Here is a 21673-nt window from a genome sequence, read left to right as displayed (position 1 = left end):
ATATCATCAGTAAACAGGCTAATGCAATCTCAAACTGCACTAGAAATGTCCAGAATAAGGAGAGTGGGGATTATCATGTTCTATGCTATACTGATCAACTGCATGGTTCATTTCAACCAACATTCCCTGGACACCTACTATGTGCCAGACCACACTGAAATATTGTTTTCAATTTCAGTTAATATTACATATTAACAAACAAAAACACATTCAAGAGAAAATAAGAAAAATGTCTAAAAGGTTTTTATTCATAAAGAATCAAAGCAACTTAGAAAAATGTCATCAAGGCCGGGCACAGTGGCTCACGCCTGTAATCCCAGCACTGCAGGAGGCCGACGCAGGCGGATCACGAGGTCAGGAGATCAACACCATCCTGGCTAACACGGTGCCCGACTCTATGGACTATTCCTTTGAATGTATTGGTAATGTGAAGGTCATGAGAGCAGCACTTGAGGCGTGTCACAAGGGCTGGGGCATCAGCGTGGTGGCTAGAGTAGCCGCTTCAGGTGAAGAAACTGCCACTCGTCCATTCCAGCTGGTAACAGGTCACACATAGAAAGGCACTGCCTTTGGAGGATGGAAGAATGTAGAAAGTGTCCCAAAGTTGGTGTCTGAATATATGTCCAAAAAGATAAAAGTTGATGAATTTGTGACTCACAATCTGTCTTTTGAGGAAATCAACAAAGCCTTTGAACTGATGCATTCTGGAAAGAGCATTCGAACTGTTGTAAAGATTTAATTGAAAAGAGAAAAATAAAGTCCATCCTGTCGTGATGCGATGGGAGCAGCTTAACAGGCAGGGAGAAGCGCCTCCAACCTCACAGCCTCGTAGAGCTTCACAGCTACTCCAGAGAATAGTGTTATGTGTGTAATTCATGAATCTCTATAATCAAGGACAAGGATAATTCAGTCATGAACCTGTTTTCTGGACGCTCCTTCACATGAATAATTGCTAGCTTATTAATGAATATTTTAACATAAAAGTAATTTCTACCAAAAAAAAAAGAAACCCCGACTCTACTAAAAATACAAAAAAATTAGCCGGGCATGGTGGCGGGTGCCTGTAGTCCCAGCTACTCAGGAGGCTGAGGCAGGAGAACAGCGTGAACCTGGGAGGCGGAGCTTGCAGTGAGCCGAGATCTCGCCACTGCACTCCAGCCTGGGTGACAGAGCGAGACTCCATCTCAAAAAAAAAAAGAAAAAGAAAAATGTCATCAAAATCATCCTAACAATAAACATTTGCTTATTACATGTTGCAGCCATGGAGGTATGTCGCTTATATCAACCTTTATGAAATAACTTTCCAATAAGCTTCTAGGTGCACAGTTAGCTGACAGCCTCCTACTGCAGTCCCTTCAGGATGCCCAGCTTTCAAGCTGAAGTCACACTCTTCCTGGGCAGCCCCACCCAATGACTACTCATAACATAGGCACTAAGGCCTGGCCACTTCTGTCCAATGCAGGACTCCTTTAATGAACAATTTTTGTTCAAGTCTTCACTGTGTTGTCTGAGACTCTGTCAGACCTGCATCGCACTCTGAGACTCTCCCTGACAATTGTGCCTCCTCTCCCTTTCCTTTCACGGAAGTCCTCTCCTACTTCATGTATCTCTTATAGTCCTGTCTCAGCAGCTGCTTCCTGAAGGACTCAAACTGGCACAGCTGGTACCAGAAATTGACTAAGAAAGCAGGAGCTAAGATGGGGCTTAGGAATTAGATAACTTACTGCCCAACTGACAATGAAGCTCTCATCCCAGGTGGTATGTGAGGCATGACAGGCCCTGGCACAAGCTGGTGGCCCAAGTGTTAACACGCAAGTTGTGACTTGGGAGAATGTTCCCAGAGAGGAACACTCAAACTGGTGTAAAGATTCAGATATTTGGGAAGGGGAACACAAAACATACAAGAATAGCCGGGCGCGGTGGCTCATGCCTGTAATCCCAGCAGTTTGGGAGGCCGAGGCGGGCGGATCACGAGGTCAGGAGATCGAGACCATCCTGGCCAACATGGTGAAACCCCGTCTCTACTAAAAATACAAAAAATTAGCCGGGCATGGTGGCAGGCGCCTGTAGTCCCAGCTGCTCAGGAGGCTGAGGCAGGAGAATGGCGTGAACCTGGGAGGCGGAGCTTACAGTGAGCCAAGATCGTGCCACTGCACTCCAACCTGGGTGACTCAGTTTCAAAAAAAAAAAAAAATACAAGAACAATAAAGTTGGCTAGCTGTTAGATTGCCCAGGCTCCCTAGAAAGGGCAGCTAACAAACAACTGAAAACTAAGCGTGAAGGTCAGAGGGCTCTTTGGTAGCTCACAAACAGGTCCTTATCACCTACGAAGGGAGGCAGTAAAAGATGAAGAACAAACTCAGGATGGCTACAGACCACTGCTTCACGGTGGCTGAATGCTCAGCCAAGGCAGGTTTGTTACGCCAAGGTCAGGATCCTGATTTGGAAAACCTAGAAGCCTGATAGACAGGTTACGGATAGATGGCTGCCCCCAAAGATTGTCATTTCCAAATCCTTTGAACTCTGAGTCTTCAGGGATGAGTTAGCACTCCCTGCTGCGCAGCAGCACACTTCAGAGGTCTGTCACCTGCAAGGCAACACAGGGGCTCCCTCAGGATCTGTCCCTATCTGCATTCCTAGATGCCATGATAATAGCTAGTGCTAACCCTGCCAAGGACATCTTGGACCTCATAAAGGAGAACAGAGACTATAATCCCCAAAAGAATGGCAAGAATTAGCCAGGGTACCAGCAGGACTGGCATAAACCACAGTGCTAGATTTTCAAGGTGCTTAAGCAAGCAGGAACATTAGACTGAGTAAGGTCAAGTTTACTGGTTGAGAAAGGGGCTGTCTCAGGATATGAGAATTAACACTGTGGCAGGGACCTGGGAGATGGCATAAACTTGCTGTCAGGGTGGCTCCTAGCAGCCTGGAGAAAATGATGGCCCAACCTAAGTCAGGCTGAAATGACTGAATTGACATAGCAGAGAGCAGAGGACAGGATTAAAAAGCTCAGGAAAGTGGGTATGATAGAGCTGTGTATACCATGTGAGGAGAGAAGACCATGCATCAAAGCTATCAGGAATATACTGGGGAGAGAGGCACCAGCATCACTAAGAAGTTCAGTGGTGGCGCTCCTCTAAAGGAAAGGCTCATTGATAGCAATAGGGGCCAGGTGGTGGCACTTAAACACCAGAAGCTAGTGAACTCTTACCATTATGATTCATGTTGAAAGACAGCCAATAAGACTTAACTTTCAGGGAGCTGTGGAGATAGTTAAGAGAATATGGTGCAGGCTGGGCAATGTGGCTCATTCCTGTAATCCCAGCACACTCTGGGAGGCTGAGGTGGGTGGATCACTTAAGGTCAGGAATTCAAGACCAGCCTGGCCAACATAGTGAAAACCCCCGTCTCTACTAAAAATACAAAAATTAGCCAGGTGTGGTGGTGGGCACCTGTCATCCCAACTGCTGGGGAGGCTGAGGCAGGAGAATCACTTGAACACGGGGAGGTGGAGGTTGCAGTGAGCTGAGACCACACCACTGCACTACAGCCTGGGCAACAGAGTGAGACTCCATCTCAAAAAAAAAAAAAAAAAAAAAAAAGAGAATATGGTGCCATAAGGAAAAAAACAGACAGATAGTCAAAATCAGTGCTGCTTAATATATATAATCAAAACAAGGCCAGAATTGGATAAGCAGGAGGCTGAGGGTGATTGCACCAATAAAAACCTACTATCCCTTTCCCAGTTCCTGGACCTGAGCCAGTTTTCACATCTAAACTCATATATATATGTAAAATTATTCCCAAGTCCATCCCGAAAGGAACCTATGGCCATTTACTCAGGCAACTATAAAGTGGGGAAGGAGGCCGGGTGCGGTGGCTCACGCCTGTAATCCCAGCACTTTCGGAGGCCGAGGCAGGCGGATCACGAGGTCAGGAGATCAAGACCATCCTGGCTAACACGGTGAAACCCCGTCTCTACTAAAAATACAAAAATTTAGCCGGGCGAGGTGGCGGGCGCCTGTAGTCCCAGCTACTCGGGAGGCTGAGGCAAGAGAATGGTGTGAACCCGAGAGGCAGAGCTTGCAGTGAGCCAAGATCATGCCACTGCACTCCAGCCTGGGCGACAGCGAGACTCCGTCTCAAAAAAAAAAAAAAGAATGTCACTAAAGTGGGGAAAGGAAAATACCCAGACATTTCAAAGACTATGGGTCACAGAGTCTGACTTGATATTGGTATACAGAAACATGGAGCATCATTGTGGCCCTATTATAGCAGTAGAAATACAGGAACCAAGTAATAAATGGAGTCCTGGCCAAAGTCTAGCTTTTAATGGGTCCACTGGTCCACAGACCTACCCAGCAGTCACTTCCCCAGTCCCTCAATGTATAAATGGGATTGGCATACTTGGCAGTTGGGGGTAACTCCCACCCCGGGTCTTTGACCTGAGGAGTAAGAGCTATCAGACAGAGAATGGCCAAGTGAAACCTTCTGAAAATAGCTCTCCGTCCCCTGGGTGTAAATCAAAACCAAAATTGTGTAGGGGGCAGAGGTAAAGGGAATGGCAATGATGAGTGTCACCTTTAAGGATCTCAAAGATTCAAGGGCAGTAGTCCCTATATATATCCATGTAATTCAAAAGTCTAGCCCCTGCAGGAACCAGTTGGATCTACCACAAGCTCAAACAAGTAGCAGCCATGACCACATTGCCATGCTAGATGTAGTATGTTTGTTGTAGCAGATAAATATAGCCTTGGGTACACAGCATGCAGCCATTTATATGGCAAATAAGTTCCTTTCTATCCTAATCAGAAAAGAGGATCAGAAGCAGTTCACTTTCACATGGAACAAACAATAAAATGCATTCATGGTTTTGCTTTGGGGCTATGTTAACTCCACTCTATCATAATAGTCTGCAGAGATCTGGACTCAAAGCATATAGATCCATCACGTCAGTGATACATGTTGATCTTGCAAGATGAGCAAGAGGTGGCTAGCATACTGAAGAACTTGGTGGGGTACATGTGTTCCAAAGAGGGTAAAGAAAAACCCTACCAATATTCAGGGATCTTCCATTTCAGCAAAGTTTTAAGAGTCCAGTGGTCGCAATCATGCCAACACATCCCCTCCAAAGCAAAAGACAAATTGCTGCATCTTGCATCCCCAACTACAAAAAAGGAAGCACAATGTCTGGTAGGCTCCTTCAGATTCTAGAAGTAACACATTCTATATCCAGGAATACCACTGTGGCCCATATACTGGTTGACATGAAAGGCTGCTAGTATTGAGTAGGGGCAACAACTCTGCAGCAAGTCCAGGCTGTAGTGCAAGCAATCCCTATGCTGTTGGAGGTACCAATGGTGGGAAAAGATGCAGTGTAGAGTTTATAGCAAGGAAGAGAATCAAAATGCAGGCCCCTAGAGTTCTGCAGGAAGGCCATGCTATTAGAAAAACAGCTCCTGTGGCCGGGCGTGGTGGCTCACGCCTGTAATCCCAGCACTTTGGGAGGCCGAGGCGGGTGGACCACGAGGTCAGGAGATCGAGACCATCCTGGCTAACACAGTGAAACCCCGTCTCTACTAAAAATACAAAAAATTAGCTGGGCGAGGTGGTGGGCGCCTGTAGTCCCAGCTACTCGGGAGGCTGAGGCAGGAGAATGGCATGAACCCCGGGGGGCGGAGCCTGCAGTGAGCCGAAATCGCGCCACTGCACTCCAGCCTGGGCGACAGCGAGACTCCGTCTCAAAAAAAAAAAAAAAAAAAGAAAAAAAAGAAAAACAGCTCCTGGTGTGCAACTGTGTCCTATTAAGAGATACAATGCTTCATCACTGGGCACCATGTGTCCAGACTTTCCATAATGATCTGCATTCACTAGGACTCGCCAGGTCATAAAGCCAGGTGAGCATAGCAGCAATCCATTATAAGATAGGAATGGCACATCAAGGATCAAAATGAAACAGAACCAAAAGGCACAAGAAGACTGCTATAAGCAGGCAGCCAAGACTTCCCTGGCACTCACCATACTAGCACCATTTCCTCAGCTCACATCTATAGCTATTTGGGGTATCCTATAAGACCAACTTAAGAAGGAGAAAAAAGCCAAAGTTTTGCTTATAAGTAGGTCAGCTCAGTATGTGAATGCAAGCTGAAAAAAACAACGGAGTTCATTATAGCCACACTTAGGGGTGACCTTGACAATGAAAAGGGAAAATCTTCTTAACAGACAGAGCTTTGAGTCGTGCACCTGGTTATGAATTTTATGCAGAAAGAAAAGTGGCCTGGGGTGAGAATATATAGACTCACGGGCAATGGCAAGTAGACTGGCCAACTGGTTAGAGGCCTTTAAGGAGAAGGACAAAGGCAAGGGGTATGGGTGGAGGGAAATGAATGAATATATGGGAGTGGGTGGAAAGTATGAAAATCTTTGTTTCATGTGTTAATGCCCACCAGAAAGTATCCAATACAGAAGAGCCAATGAACAGCCAAGGAGACAAAATGACTCAACTAGCTGACATCGGTCACCCAGAAGTGGCAAGATGGGGACATAAATGGAGAGGTCACTGTGGCAGAAATAGAGATGGAAGCAGAGAAGGAGACATGGACTCCCATTTACCAAGGCCAACTCTGAACATCCAACCTATGAGCAACAAAGACCAACACCAAGCCCCCATATAGCATTATGCCTCAGGCAGACCAACAGACTATTAAGTGGTAAGCTGACTACACTGGGCCTCTTCCATCTTGGATGGGCCAGTGATTGATCTTCACAGGATTAGACATTTATTCCAGGTATGGGTTTGCCTTTCCTGTCCATAGAGACCTAGCCAGTACCACTAAATATAGACTTATACAGCACTTAATCAACAGACATGGAATCCAGCCAAGGGAATCACTTCACAGTGAAAGATTTGTGGCAGTAGGCCCATAACCATAAGCTCCAGTAGTTATATCCATAACAGCTCCATACAAAAGGACCAGTCTTAGAGAGTATTGGAATGGCCTGCTGCAGGCACAGCTAATGTACTAGCTCAGAGACAAAAATGGTGTGCTATCCTCTTGTATGCAGTACATGCACTGATTTAGAGCTAGGTTCCCAGTAAGAAGAATACATGGGTCTGAGAACCAAGAAGTGGAAAGGGAAATAGCCCCTACTCGCCATCATTCCCAATGATCTACTTTGTGCTTCCCATCTCTGCAATGTGGGGCTCTACGGAGTTAGAAGTCCTGGCACCCAAAGCGGGCACACTTTTGCCAAGAGACACATGAAAGGTCACAGTGAACTACAATTTACAGCTGCAGCCTGAATACTGAGTATTCCTTGTGTCCAAGGACTAGAAAGCAGTAAGAGGAATGCCCATCTTGGCAAGATTAATTAACCCTCATCCTCAGGAGGAAGTAGGGCTGCCGTTACACAAAGGGAACAAGAAAGAATATGTGTGGGACTCAGATGATTCCCTAGGATACCACTTAATACTCCCTGCCCAGTAGTGACTATGAATGGGCAAATGCAACCACTCCAGTCTCAGACCCCTCAGAAATGAGGGTTTGGGTCAAACCACTAGGTAAACAACCAACACCAGCAGAAATGATAGCTGAGGGCAAGGGCAATTTAGACTACATAGTGGAGATGGCTCTAGAACTTTGTGGCTCTGAGACCAGCTACAGTGATGAGCCTGAGGCCTGTCTCACTAATCTCTTTCTACATTTCCTCCCTTGGAGGAGCTGCTCTCAGAAACTGTGAAGATATGGATCTGTGCATCATGAGGAATGGACTGTAGCAATCACTTGGATCTTCCTTCAAAAAAGAATTGCCATTCAGGTCCAAGGAGTTTGGTTAGCTAACAGCCTCCAGCTGCAGCATGTTCAGAATTCATCTCAGCTTCCCAGTCATGACCATGCTCTCCTTGGGCAGCTCTAGCCAGTGACTAAACATGGTGGGTGTACTAAAATCTGGCCATTTCTGCCCATGCAGGCCTCCTCTAACAGGCAATATGTGCTCTGAAGTTCCCTGTTAGGTTGACTGAGATTTTTTCAGATCTGCATCACAGACTGAGGCTCTCCCTAGGCAATTCTGCTTTCTCCCCATTTCCTTTCATAGGCATTCCATCCCATAAAACCTCTTGTGCTACTACATCCATTTCAACGTCTGCTTCCCAGCGGACCTGAACCAATACACTATGTACTTAGCTCTTTACATGTATCTGTTTATTTAACCCACTGATGTATTATTGTTAGTCCCATTTTACAGGTGAGAAAACTGAAGCACAAAGAAGTTATTAACTTGCCCAAGATCACAAAGTGAAAGGAGAATTAAATTTGAACCCAGACAGTTTGACTCTAGAGCCTGTAATTTAATCACTATGCTGGGAGAGACAGGATACTGTCTTGTCATCTTTAGATATTAAGAGTGATTATTTATTCTGTGTAATTTTAAAGAGTAAAAGAGCAAAAGGATATATACTAGAAAAAAAGCTAGATTTTTGGCTGAATATAAAAAGAAATAATACTGCTAATATTCTAATAACGTGCAGAATGAGCACCTTCAGGAAGTAATCAGGGCCTATCATCTGAGAGTTCAAAGTCTCGGATACGGTGAGGGTGAGACTTTAAAAAACAGGTAAAAGTTGACCTACATCAGTAAAGGGTATTAATTACTAAGGCCTACGTGGAAAAAAGGGGTTCCACAACCAAATAAGTTTGGGTAATATAGCCAGGCACACTGGCTCATGCCTGTAATCCCAGTACTTTAGGAGGCTGAGGCAGGTGGATCATCTGAGGTCAGGAGTTCGAGATCAGCCTGGCCAACATGGTGAAATCCCATCTCTACTAAAAATACAAAAATTAGCCAGACATGGTGGTGCATGCCTGTAATCCCAGCTAATCAGGAGGCTGAGGCAGGAGAATTATTTGAACCTGGAAGGCGGAGGTTGCAGTTAACCAAGATGGTGCCACTGCACTCCAGCCTGGGTAACAAGAGCAAAACTCCATCTCAAAAAAAAAATTGGGGTAATACATAGCTGAACAAAGTTAAACAAGTTTCTTCCACTCCTCAGTCTTTAGAATACTAACGTGCATTTGCAAACTTCTACCTAAGGGATATATAGTAAGCTGAAAACCCAAACTTATTTGACTAAAGAACATCTCCTTGCTCCTAGGGAACATACTTTAGAAATCCTGGATGGGCTCAGAGAGGTGGCTCATGTCTCTAATCCCAGCACTTTGGGAGGCCGAGGCGGGTGGATCACTTGAGGTCAGGAGTTCCAGACCAGCCTGACCAACATGGTGAAACCTTGTCTCTACTAAAAATACAAAAAATTAGCCAGGTGTAGTGGTGGGTGCCTGTAGTCCCAGCTACTCGGGAGGCTGAGGCAGGAGAATTGCTTGAACCCGGGAGGCAGAGGTTGCAGTGAGCCGAGACCACACCACTGCACTCCAGCCTGGATGACAGAGCGAGACCCCATCTCAAAAAAAAAAAAAGAAAAAACACACATACACACACACATAGACACAGGACAAGATTCACAGGATGAAAAAAGAGTGTGGACTTTCTAGTCAGAGATATATGAGCTTGATATATAAGTTTGAATCATCAATGTGGGCTTAAGCTTAGGAAAATCAATAAAACTCTCCAAGCCTCAGTTCCCTCAGCTGTAAAATGCATAATAATATAATGACCTTATAATATCCTTAGTAAGAGTTACAAATAACATATGTGAAACACTTACCAGAAAGATGGCACACTACAGGGAAAGCTTTTATATTCCACAAAAAGTAATACAAGGTAAAAGAATCAAGGAAAACTCCATAAACCTGGAATCTTGGAAGAACAGGATGCAAAAACAGGAGGGAGGAATGATCAGCTTGGAACCAAATCATGAAGGCTGTATGCCAGGTTAAAGAATCTCAACCTTGCTTTTTAAACACTGAGCAGAAATTTCCATGAGTGACCTCACAATAACTTCAAAAATAATTTACCTCGGCTACTACTACTAAAAAAAAAAAAAAAAAGACAATTATCACCAGAATCACAAAAAGGCCTACATGATGTACTGTGAAGTTCAAGTTTCAAACTGGCAGTGTTTTATTTTAATTACCTTTTAGGGACTGTTTCTCCTGCTCAACTGAAAATGAAAAATGGAGATTAAAGTTTGTATAAATCCTGACAGGGTGTTTTTACAAAATTTTGACATTGCTTGTTCTATCTTTTCTTCTTTTTTTTTTTTTTTAAGACAGTATGTTCCCCTGTTGCCCAGGCTGGCGTGCAGTGGCGTGATCTCGGCTCACTGCACCTCCCCTCCGGGTTCCCAGGTTCAAGCGATTCTCCTGCCTCAGCCTCCTGAGTAACTGAGATTACAGGGGCCCAACGCCACGCCCAGCCAATTTTTGTATTTTTAGTAGAGACAGGGTTTCACAATGTTGGCCAGGCTGATCTTGAATTCCTGACCTCAAGCGATCCATCCACCTCGGCCTCCCAAAGCGTTGGGATTACAGGCATGAGCCACCGTGCCTGGCCCTATATATCTCATCTATCTAGCTATCTATCTAGCTATCATCTATCATCTATCTATCTATCTATTTAGAGATTAGGTCTCACTATGTTGCCCAGGCTGGAGTGGGGTGGCTATTCTCAGACATGATCCCACTACTGATCAGCATGGGAGTTTTGAGCTGCTCCATTCCCAGCCTGGGCCAGTTCACCCCTCCTTAGGCAACCTGGTGGTCTCCGACTTCCAGGAGGTCACCCCCTCTCAGGAGGTCACCATACTGATGCCAAACTTAGTGCAAACACTGATCAGCATAGCACACTACAGCCCAGAACTCCTGGGCTCAGGCAATCTTCCCGCCTCAGCCTCCCAAGTAACTGAGACTAGACGCACATGCCACCACACCAGTCAGTTTATTTTAGTAAAGAGAATTTTGAGATAGACTCTGTTGGGCTATGTAACATATAAAAATATGTACAATTTACTCTTTCTTCATTTTAATAAAATGAAATCTCACAGATAAACAGCAAACTTTAATCATGAAAGGTTAGAAAAGAACCAAACTATATTGCAAACAGAAATGCATATCTTTTCATTAATCCTACCAGAAAGGCTCCAGAACTACTGTTTTTGTAACTTTATACGGAAACTATATCATCCAAAGGAACTAAAAGATTGTATAATAAACCAGAACAAGCCTTTCAGCTTAAAATCACCACTACAGGCCGGGCAGTGGCTCACACCTGTAATCCCAGCACTTTGGGAGGCCAAAGCAGGTGGATCACGAGGTCAGGAGTTCAAGACCAGCCTGGCCAAGATAGTGAAACCCCGTCTCTACTAAAAATACAAAAATTAGCCACGCGTGGTGGCAGGGCATACCTTGAATGAGTAACCAAAACATCGGGTAATATTCTACATACAAGACAAACAATGACATTTGTATTTATATAAAATTATGTATCATTGAGAGGTAACGGCAATTCTTAAAATCTGTCATGCCTGACTGCCTAGAAATGTTAATATGAAACTAGACTGTAAATTTTTAGAAATGTTTCAGTAGAGTTAAAGAAAAACTAAACTCAGGCATTACAATTGCCTTTTCTTAAGAAATATTCATATTGCCCAGGCGCGGTGGCTCACGTCTGTAATCCCAGCACTCATTCAAGGTATTAAAGCCTTCCTATGAGGTTTTTTAGGACATAGTTCAAAGTCAGCAATAATTACTTGCTAATGTTTCTAAAGTTTTTTTTCAAACCAGTTAGGAAATACTACAGGGAACCATTGTTTGAGTAAACAAAGTGCAAGTTTTAGACCTTCATTCTACATGTTCAAGATCAGCCTGGTCAACACGGCAAAACCCCATCTCTACTCAAAATACAAAAATTAGCGGTGCATAGTGACAGGCGCCTGTAGTAACAGCTACTCGAGAGGCTGGGTCAGGAGAATTGTTTGAACTGGGAGGTGGAGGTTACAGTGAGCCAAGATCACACTACTGCACTCTAGCCTGGTTGACAGAGCGAGAGTCTATCTCAAAAAAAAAAAAAAAAAAAAAAAAAAAAAAAAAAATCATGTTAAGGCTGGGAACAGTGGCTCATTCCTGTAATCCCAGCACTTTGGGAGGCCAAGGCAGGCAGATCACTTGAGGTCAGTTTGAGACCGGCCTGGCCAACATGGTGAAATCCCGTCGCTACTAAAATTACAAAACTTATCCAGGCATGGTGGCGCGCACCTGTAGTCCCCGCTACCAGGGAGGTTGAGGCAGGAGGATCGCTTGAATCTGGGAGACAGAGGTTGCAGTGAGCCAAGACTGCGCCACCGCACTCCAGCCTGGGCAACAGAGCAAGACTCCATCTCAAAAAAAAAAAAGAAAGAAATATTCATATTAATAGAAGACAGCCTTTTATACAGCTGAAGTCCTCACACCACCATTCCTATCACCACCCAATGTGGTTAATCAGTTCTATTAACCAGAGTTCACTGTTTACTAAACAGGAAACTAGAAAGTTTACAGCTTTTTTTGTTTTTGAGATGGAGTTTCGCTCTTCTTGCCCAGGCTGGAGTGCAATGGTGCAGTCTTGGCTCACTGCAACCTCCGCCTCCCTGGTTCAAGCAATTCTCCTGTCTCAGCCTCCCAAGTAGCTGGGATTACAGGTATCTGCCACCATATAGTGGTGATTTTGAACCGAAAGGCTTGTATTTTCAGGAGAGACAGAGTTTCACCATATTGGCCAGGCTGGTCTCGAACTCCTGACCTCAGGCGATCGGCCCACCTCAGCCTCCCAAAGTGCTGGGATTACAGGCGTGAGCCACAGCGCCTGGCCTACAACTTTTATCCTCAGGCCAAAAACATTCCCTATCATCAAAGAATCTGGCAATGCATCTGCAAGTAAAAGCTTCAACAATTTACCTAATGACTGTAAATAAAAGTTATTAACCAGGAGCATGGTGGCTCATGCCTGTAATCCCAGCACTTTGGGAGGCTGTGGGTGGATCATTTGAGGTTAGTAGCTCCAGACCAGCCTAGCCAACATAATGAAACCTCGCCTCTATTGAAAAAAAAAAAGTTATGAACCGCAGATAGAGCCTTACATTACCACTTCACACTCATTAGGATGGTTATAATCAAAAAAACAGATAACAAGTGTTGGTGAGGACGTGAAGAAATTGGAACCTTCATACAACGCAGGTGGGATTGTAAAAAGGTGCAGCTACTTTGTAAAAACAATCTGATAGTTTCTCGAAAGGTTAAACATACAGCTACCATTTGGCCCAGCAATTCCATCCCTATAAATACCCAAGAGAAATGAAAGCATATTTCCACACAATAATTTGCACATGAATGTTCACAACAACATTATTTATAGTAGCCAAAAAGTGGAAACAGCCCTAACTGATGAATAAAATGTGGTATTTCCATACAATGGAATATTATTCAGCAATAAAAAGAAATGAAGTACTGACACTTGCTACTGAACCCTAAAACTATTATGCTAAGTAAGAGAAACCAGTCATATATCGTATGATTCCACTTACATGAAATGTCTCGATAGGCAAATCCATAGAGGCAGAAAGTACATTAGCGGTTGCCTAGGGCTGGGAGGATTAGGGAGATCCTGGGAGTGACTGTTAATGGGTACAAGTTTCTCTTTGGAGTGATTAAAATGTTCTAAAATTAGACAGCAGTGATGTTTGCACAACTCTGTGAATATATAATACTGTTCTAACTTTTCCAGTTCCGTAAATGGGCTATTTACCATAATTTAAAAGAAAAATATAAGTATTAATTAATTTGTAAAATAGAAAATACTTTATGCGTTGAGTATCCCTTATCTAAAATACTTGGAACCAGAAGCATTTGGGACAGATTAGAATTCTGACGCAAGTCTAAACACAAAATTCATTTGTTTCATGTATACTTATACGCATAGCCTAAAGGTAACTTTATACACTATTTTTAATAATTTTGTACATGAAACAAAGTTTTGACCATTTTGATTGTGACCCATCACATGAGATCAGGCGTGGAATTTTTCCACTTGTGAGATCATGTCAGTGCTCAAAAAGTTTTGGACCTTTGAGCATTTCGAATTTCAGACTTTTGGATTAGGGATGCTCAACCTGTAAAAACAGCACTTTTCAAATTATTTTATTAAATAAATTTTACCATTATAAAATATAAGGTATTCTACTACATAACTAAATGCTAATTCTACTGACACCTTGGTTCCTCCTTAATTTAGCAATCTCTAATACTTCAAAATTAGATTATGCTGATTTTACTTATTAATAGTAAACTACATAAATAATTAACAATCTTTCAACCTCTTTTTTTCAAAACTCAGAGAAATATATTTTCCAATTCCAGAGTCCGGATTTACCAGGACTCATGGGACTGAACTATAGCTCTGATTTACCCATTATATCATTTAATACTTACAATAATCCTGTAAGGTGACTATTATCAGTTGCATTTTATAGAAAAGAAAATTGAGACTTAAAGAGGGTAACAAACTTGTCCAAGGTTATAAGAAAAGACTGGCAGGCTATAAAATCTAGTTCTAGCCTACTGTAGTTTATAAGGAAAAATCTATGTTCTGAAAACAGTTCTTAAGTAAATTTAATAAATTGAGAGTTTTTTGAAAACTAAATATATGAACTATTTCTATTCAGTGCCTGCAACTACATCTTTTCCAATGATTATTATATACAGTTGTCTCTCTGTATCTGTGGAGGACTGGTTCCAGGAACCCACAGGATACCACAATCTGTGGATGCTCAAATCCCTTATATAAAATGGCACAGTATTTGCATATAACCTATGAACATCCTCCTGTATACTTTAAATAATCTCTAGACTACTTACAATGCCAAATACAATTGTAAGTGCTATGCAAATCAACTGTTATACTGTATTGGGTTTTTATTTGTATTATTTTTATTATTGTATGATTACTTTTGTGTGTGTGTGTGTGTGTGTGTGTGTGTGGATATTTTTGAGCCTTGGCTGGGAGGACCCACAGATACAGAGATCTGACTGTACTAAGAATGTTGCTCTATATAATGCAGGTCAAGTATACACAAGTAAAATTAAAGATCAATGTAAAACTCTGAAAATAAATAATTTGCAACAAGTGTACCCTATATAAAGGGAATACTAATTTATTGGCTAAAAATGAAATGGAAAACATACTAAAATCGAAATTGTTTTCCATAAAAAATTCCAAATCCCAAAAGTAGACTTAGTCTAAAAAAAATAAAGCAACCAAGTTTTAAGTCATGCAGAAATCCCAATGCCTGATTTTTGTTTTTCCCAAAAGGAAGAAAGAAATGTACATTTATTGAGCACCTCCTACATGACAAACACTGAGCTAATTGCTTTCGGTTACTTTTATCTCATGGAACCTGTTCTACTTTGCTAGGAGGGGTAGTGTTACCCCAATAGTACATAAGAAACTCAGAATCTAAATGTCACATCGCTTTAAGAGGTGTAGTAAGGATTCCTGCTCACATCTGACTCCATACTCTGTACCACATTATGCAATTAACAACCATAAAACACACATATATACGCCATATCTTTAGGAACATAAGAACTTAAGCTAAAATCCAGGCAATTATCTTTTAAACAAGCTTTGTGCCTTGCAACCAGTCTGTGGCTAGCACGTTTACAAGGTGCCACATAAAAGTTTACTGAATGGAATGAACAGTGGTAGCTTAGCAACAGAGGAAGGAATTATCATCTCTACTCACTCTACCTTTCTAAAAGAGTTAATAGGAAACTATCACCAGGCAATATAAGCAATTATTTCCTTAAAGAAAACACTGAATCAGGAATTGGAAGAGAAAGGAATAATCATACATAAAAAGTATTATCAATGTCCTTAAACGGCAAGATGAGACACAGAAGCCTTAAACAGAGATTTAGCACGTTCCACTCAATTTCAACACTTGTCTGACCTACCTTGTAACAGTTAATTAAAGGTATCCTGCTTCCACAGGACAAGTTTAGTAGAGCCCTTGGTCATTTTTGTGTTTCCTGGAATACCTATAACAGGACCTGGCACTTAAAAGCCAAAATTGTATAAAAATCTTTTACAGATTATAATACCTTTTCAGATTTATTTATCCTAAAAGCCTCGCAAGGTAAGCATAATAACTGAAGTATATGCATTTTACAGACAATGACATTGGTGTCCATTAAGTGCCAAAGTAAATGACAAGGTATTCTTTTAGCACACCACAGCTATCACAGGAGGCTCTCAATAAATGGTTGCTGATTGGATCAGCTGTCCCTCAAAATATCACTTTTCTTTCTAAGATTATTTACTACGAAAAATGACATCCTTTGAGCTGGAGCTGCAAGGAAGTAAAAAAAAAAAAAAAAGAAAGAAATGACTATTGCCACTAAAGACTTATAGTTTTGCTAGAAAATAGACACCTTCCTTCGGCTCAGCAAGGTTAGTTAATTTTAAACTTACTGTATCAGTGATTCTCAAACTTTAGTAGGTCTAAGAATCAGGGAGACTGATAAAAATAAAGTTCTTTGGGCCATCGTCATCCCTAGAATTTCAATTCAAGGGACCAAGAATCTGCATATTACATATAATACTTATATATATAACAAGCACTCTCAACTGATTCTAATGTTGGTGGTCTTGAGGGACACACTGAGAACTGTATTCAACTTTTTTTTTTTGAGATGGAGTCTCGCTCTGTTGCCCAGGCTAGAGTCAGTGGCCCAATCTTGGCTCACTGCAACGTCTGCCTCCCAGGTTCAAATGATTCTTGTGCCTCAGCCTCCCGAGTAGCTGGGGCTACAGGTGGGCACCACCATGCCAGCTAATTTTTGTATTTTTAGTAGAGACGGGGTTTCACCATATTGACCAGGCTGGTCTTGAACTTCTGACCTCATGATCCACCCGCCTCGGAGAGGGGCATCTTGCTTACGTTGCCCAAGCAGGACTGGAACTCCTAGGATCAAGGGGTCCTCCCCATTCAGCCTCCCTAGTAGGCCTAGCCATCACACTTTGCCTGAATTAGACTTTTAAAAATCGAGATTAACCTACCCAAATAACTGGTAATGAAGCCAATTTTTAAAAGAAATACTTAAAATCTGACAAAAACAATGCAAGGCTACAGCATCTAACACAGTAGGTCTTCAAAAACGTGTACCATGCCAAACTTTCTCCCTAGATGGAGACCCCATGCTGCATAGAAGGTTAAGTCAGGGATCTTTTAGGTAGTTACCCATATTCTTCTGTTTTAATTGATGAATTCAACATGGTTCCAATGTAATTTAGTAAAATATTTTTACAGGTCTTATACAAATGACAATGTAAAATGGAACAGTCAGATAATTTTAAACCTAATATACAGAAATAATAATTTTAAAAATCACTGTCAGTACGAGCCCATTATAAACCTGTACTGTTTACAATCTGTGAGATTATGGGTGATTTCTCCTATTATTAAATATTTATTAAGAGCCAACATGGTACCTTTCTATAATTCCCAAGTTTTCTACAATAAGCATATTTTTTCATGATTATAAAAGTTTTGCAAGTACCTATAAGTCTTATAACTTTCACATACATAACAGGAAAACAAGAATAACCTGTAATCACATTTCTCACAAAACATAAATATCTGACTTACGGTATCAAACTGTAATCAGTAGCATTTTCAACATTAATATCAGAACAAATCATTTTATTTCTAAAATTTAGCATGTATCCCATTTCCTTCAGGTATTTATTAGGGTAGCTGGCACTTAAAGAGGACTTAAAATCCTTTTGCCAACTATTCTCTGGATCTCTTTAAGTGGAACATTTTTGTACCGAACACTGAAGCATAAAAATATTTCTTCTGGCGGGGTGTGGGGGGCAGACCTTTGTAAAAGACGTTTTTATAACTGTGAGTGTTTATCTACAAAACTTAGCATCGCAAAGATGCGATGGGGCTTTCTCCAAGGCAGACCACGCTTAGAGGCAAGATATAATATAAAGAGGCAGGAATGAGCAACCGGCAGGTGATGAAATTTCACCTCAAATAAGACGCAAAAGGTTGTTCTCGAGCAAGCCAGATCCATGAATGACACTCCAGGAGTAGCAGGGGCTCTCTTGGTCCCGCACTCTCTGCACCCCCAATTCTCACCCTGGCCTTCCTCTCCTCCCCCTTTCCCCGCCACAACCGGGATTCTGAGGGACTCGGTATGGGACGCGTGGAAGCCAAAGCTTGTTTGCAAACAGGCGTCATCTGCCTCCCTCCGGGATGTACGTGCAGGGCCCGGGCTAAGAGGCTGCGCTCGGCCCGGGCCCATGCAAACCCGAAAGGCGGCCGTGCTCCTGCCGGCCCCCAGCTCCACACACCCGGCCGCGCCGGAACCGAGGCCGGAGCGAGGGCTTCCCAACGGCGCGGGGCCTAATCGCCCCCCACGGCCTTCAGCCTCCCGGGGGACGCGGGGAGAAAGGGCTGAGGCCCCAGGACCGCAGGGTGGGGGAGGCGACCGCAGTGGCAGGACGCCCCGTCCGCCCGGCCCGCGGTCTGCCGCCAGGGCCCCCACAGGCGGCGGGAGGCCGGCGAGCCCCGGACCACGCCGCGCCACACTCACCTCGAGCAGCGGCCGCCTCCGCTTCAGCATGGCCACGGGGGTCGTCCCTGAGCCGAAAGCCTCCTCCGGAGGGCACCGGCGCGGCCCCAGGCGCCGCCGCGAAACCTCCCACTCCTGTAGGAGCTGCGGTAGCCGCAGCTGCGGCTGCTACTGCTGCTAAGGCCCGGCACCCGCCCAGCCGCATCGGCGCCCGGGCCGCGGCAGCCACGCGGATCCCGGAGGAGCGCCGCCGAGCCGGGCCGGGGGCGCAAGGCTGCGGCGGGACGACCGAGGTGCGGCAGGCGGGGATCCTCAGCGAAGCCTCCAGCGTCGGGTGGCCGCTCCTGCCGCCGGCGCCGCTGGGCCACAGCGCCCCCTGGACCCCACGTCCGGCTACGGCGTCGGGACTGCGGCGGCCGCGCTGGGCACGAGCCGCAGGGAACGCTAAGGAGCGCGGCCTGGGGGCGGCGAGGGCCCCGTGCTCCCTGCGTAGCCCGCGGCCCGCGGCCGGCCCGGGACTCCGCTTCCCGGGAACCGGAAGCCCCTCAGTTCCCACCAACCCCTGGCGTTCCCCGCCCCCGCCAGACCCGAGCACCTTTTCGTTCTCTCCCGAAGATACGTGAACGTTCTTGTCACTCGGACCCGCACCTGAGAGCAGGAATATAAGGGAATCTCCGTTTGACTCTCACGGTTTCGGGGGTGGCAGGGAGACCCCCTTCTAATTCCTTTAATGCGTCTGGATGAAAGAAGAGTGACCCAGAACAAACCTTTTTTTCAAACATACACACTCGTCTCCCAAAACAGACGAAGGAATTGTCTTTGACCTTAACTTGTTTTTTTATCTACTGTGTAGATCATTAAGAAATTTTCTACAGATATCAACCAAACCCTTAACACCTAAACCACCACCCCCACAAAACAAAAATGAAAAAAAAATACATACATATATATATATGCCAAGCCAGAGAAGAGAATAGCCAACGGGTTGTCCTGAAATTCATAAACAACTTAAAGGTAAGCAAAGAATCACCCATCTTTTACTAACATCCTCTCCCTCCCAACCTCTTCTCTCCCACCTTTCCACCCCTCATCCCAGGCAAATCCTAGTAAGGCTCTGAAGGAAGGAAATTATTACACAGTGGGGGCTATGGAATCATTCTGTTTACAGATGCCCCATATTTGATCCCAGTCAGCCTCTAGGGTGCAAACATCAGAACCAAAAACAAACACGACTGTCAGAGGGGAAGTAGGGAAAGAAAATTCTCCAAATCCTCTGATCCCTAAATTTTCCAAATACACTTTTTTAACAGAGTGGTATACTAGAATGTGTAGTGATTTTGGTGTCAGACACATACCAACACTACCAGTTCCAGTTCTGTCATGTATATATAGCTTTATGACCCTGGGGAAGTTATGTAACATTTTTGAACTTCAGTTTTCTCCTGCCTGCCTTGCTGGTTGTTGAAGATTGGAGATAAAGAGACTGGCCCATAGAAGATACTTAATAAATGTTAGTTACAATTTTTATTGGTTCCAGTTCTTTTTCTTAGGCTCAATTTTGTACTCCTCTGTTTTTGTTTCTCATTCTCTCTCTCTCTCTCTCTCTCTCTGTGTGTGTGTATGTGTGTGTGTATGTGTGTGTGTAACTGTATTTCTGTCAAAAGATAGATGCTCCATTCTTCATCCTCCCTAGTCTGGGTGAAATTTCCCTAAATTTCACTAATGGGTTTATGTAACACCCCTCCATGGAAGAATAGAGCCTCATACACTGGATCCTATGACATTCTGTTGCACAGCAGATAGCAGCATGCAACCAGTATTTTTTATGTATAAAAAATGTTATAAGGCAATCTCACCTTACCTTAGGTTATGGCCTAATGATGATAAATAATAGAAACTACAAAAGGTCTCCAGGAATCATTCATTTAATAATTGAGCAGCCACCATGGAGAAGATGTCACCTAGTAGCTCTCTTAATGAAAGCTGTTCCTGCATAATCCTAAGTGTGCCTTTGCCACATACTCCTGAGTCACAAAAAAATCACTATGCCCTTTCTATAACAAGAGAAACTGGGGCTCAAAGGGAAACCATGATTCATCCTCGCAGTGATTCTATGAGTTAGGTCCTATGCTACCATTTTACATGTGAAATATATCCAACCTAAGGAAGAGCTGGAAGTAGACCCTGAGATTCCCTTCAGTCCCCAACCTGATGCCCCAACAGTCCTTTCAACAATATTAACAAAATGCTGTAAGGGTCATTTGTTGCTAAAAAATGTTTAGTCAAGGGAAAAGGGCCCTTCAACTGATTGAGATCATTAGCGCTGTAACCTAATATTAGCACTGTATTTTTCATGCCTAGATCACTGCCACCACAGGAAACCTGCATTTGTTTATGAATAATCATGCAACCCAGGGCATAGCTACTACATGAAGAAGATGATTCATTTGTTCCCAAGACCAGTTTCCTCTTGCTTCACACTTTCTCTCCTTGTTGCTGAAAGCAGCTGCCTTTATCATCACAACCTCCCCGCTGATCGGAGTAGTCCACTTTAAATCATTTCATCCTCTTCAATTTCATTCCATCGTTTTCAGTTTGCCCTCTGCTTCTAAAATGTCTCTCACCTGTTTTCCTCTCTTGTACTGTAAATCTCTTGTTCATTTTAATCTCCCTTGGGCTTCTGTCAATTGATTTGGCTACCCTCATCTCAATTTTTCATTGATTTCCCCTATTAGCTAGCAACCGTAAAATGTCTATTCCCAACCTGGTAGACCTCCCCACTTTCATTTTTATACTGTCTACATCCTGTAGAAAGCCAATATTCTAAGAATCTTTTTTCAACTGAGTTTAAGCACTAGCACCCCAAGCAAAATATTCTTTGCTCTTTAAAATTAGTTTTTAAAATTCAGGCCAAAAAGATACCCGTTTCCTGACTTGGCGAATGGCACCATCATCCACCCAGATGCCCAAGCCAAAAATCTTGGATTCATTCTTAACTCTTGTGTCTTTCTCCTGGGCAAGTAGTTACAAAGCCTGATAAATTTTACTTTTTTGCTTTTTAAATTTCTCTTCTCCTGTCCAACTCCACTGCCACTCAC

At 43.5% G+C, this 21673-nt stretch overlaps 2 protein-coding genes and 2 pseudogenes across 3 annotated transcripts in view, besides 2 other annotated features; 1 reads left to right on the top strand and 3 right to left on the bottom strand.

Moving 5' to 3' along the window:
- Window positions 1–18911, bottom strand: part of ZFYVE9 (zinc finger FYVE-type containing 9) — a 204546-nt gene extending 185635 nt beyond the window's left edge. For both annotated transcript variants that reach the window (NM_004799.4, NM_007324.5), the window contains exon 1: window positions 18597–18911. The gene's annotated coding sequence lies outside the window, so the exon portion shown is untranslated. The remainder of the gene's footprint in view (window positions 1–18596) is intronic.
- On the bottom strand, window positions 222–21281 carry LOC107984956 (collagen alpha-2(I) chain-like). The gene is made up of 5 exons (XM_047439476.1): window positions 21200–21281; window positions 19711–19807; window positions 19519–19565; window positions 18597–19223; window positions 222–883 (listed from the first exon to the last, which is right to left on the bottom strand). The coding sequence occupies exons 1-5, from the start codon at window positions 21279–21281 to the stop codon at window positions 861–863; spliced, it is 876 nt and encodes a 291-aa protein (XP_047295432.1). The 3' UTR covers window positions 222–860.
- LOC100190934 (alcohol dehydrogenase 5 (class III), chi polypeptide pseudogene) lies at window positions 399–994 on the top strand (annotated as a pseudogene).
- On the bottom strand, window positions 10581–10892 carry RN7SL788P (RNA, 7SL, cytoplasmic 788, pseudogene; annotated as a pseudogene).
- Window positions 12606–13139: an enhancer, noted in NCBI's record as "NANOG-H3K27ac hESC enhancer chr1:52613533-52614066 (GRCh37/hg19 assembly coordinates)". NCBI's record gives its function as "activates a minimal SCP1, AML or CMV promoter by ChIP-STARR-seq in naive H9 embryonic stem cells {active_cell/tissue: H9 hESC(naive)}" and the evidence as "EXISTENCE:reporter gene assay evidence [ECO:0000049][PMID:30033119]".
- Window positions 18252–19111: a silencer, noted in NCBI's record as "silent region_885". NCBI's record gives its function as "represses an Ori minimal core promoter by ATAC-STARR-seq in GM12878 lymphoblastoid cells {active_cell/tissue: GM12878}" and the evidence as "EXISTENCE:reporter gene assay evidence [ECO:0000049][PMID:35858748]".
- Window positions 21282–21673: the final 392 nt, after the last annotated feature.

The sequence above is a fragment of the Homo sapiens genome, chromosome 1 (assembly GCF_000001405.40).
Source record: "Homo sapiens chromosome 1, GRCh38.p14 Primary Assembly".
NCBI classification, from domain to species: domain Eukaryota; kingdom Metazoa; phylum Chordata; class Mammalia; order Primates; family Hominidae; genus Homo; species Homo sapiens.
Note: the sequence above shows the minus strand (reverse complement) of the source record. Positions and strands in the feature narration are given on the sequence as shown.

Bases quoted from the DNA above. Each gene is read 5' to 3' on its own strand.
- LOC107984956 (XM_047439476.1), bottom strand. From the start codon at position 21,281: ATGAGGGTAGCCAAATCAATTGACAGAAGCCCAAGGGAGATTAAAATG. The intron at 19,808-21,199 runs GTGAGAGACATT...CCCCTCTGACAG, and splicing joins AGTACAAGAGAGGAAAACAG to TCGTGTTTGTTTTTGGTTCT. The intron at 19,566-19,710 runs GTAATAATTTCC...TATGAATTTCAG, and splicing joins GATTCCATAGCCCCCACTGT to GACAACCCGTTGGCTATTCT.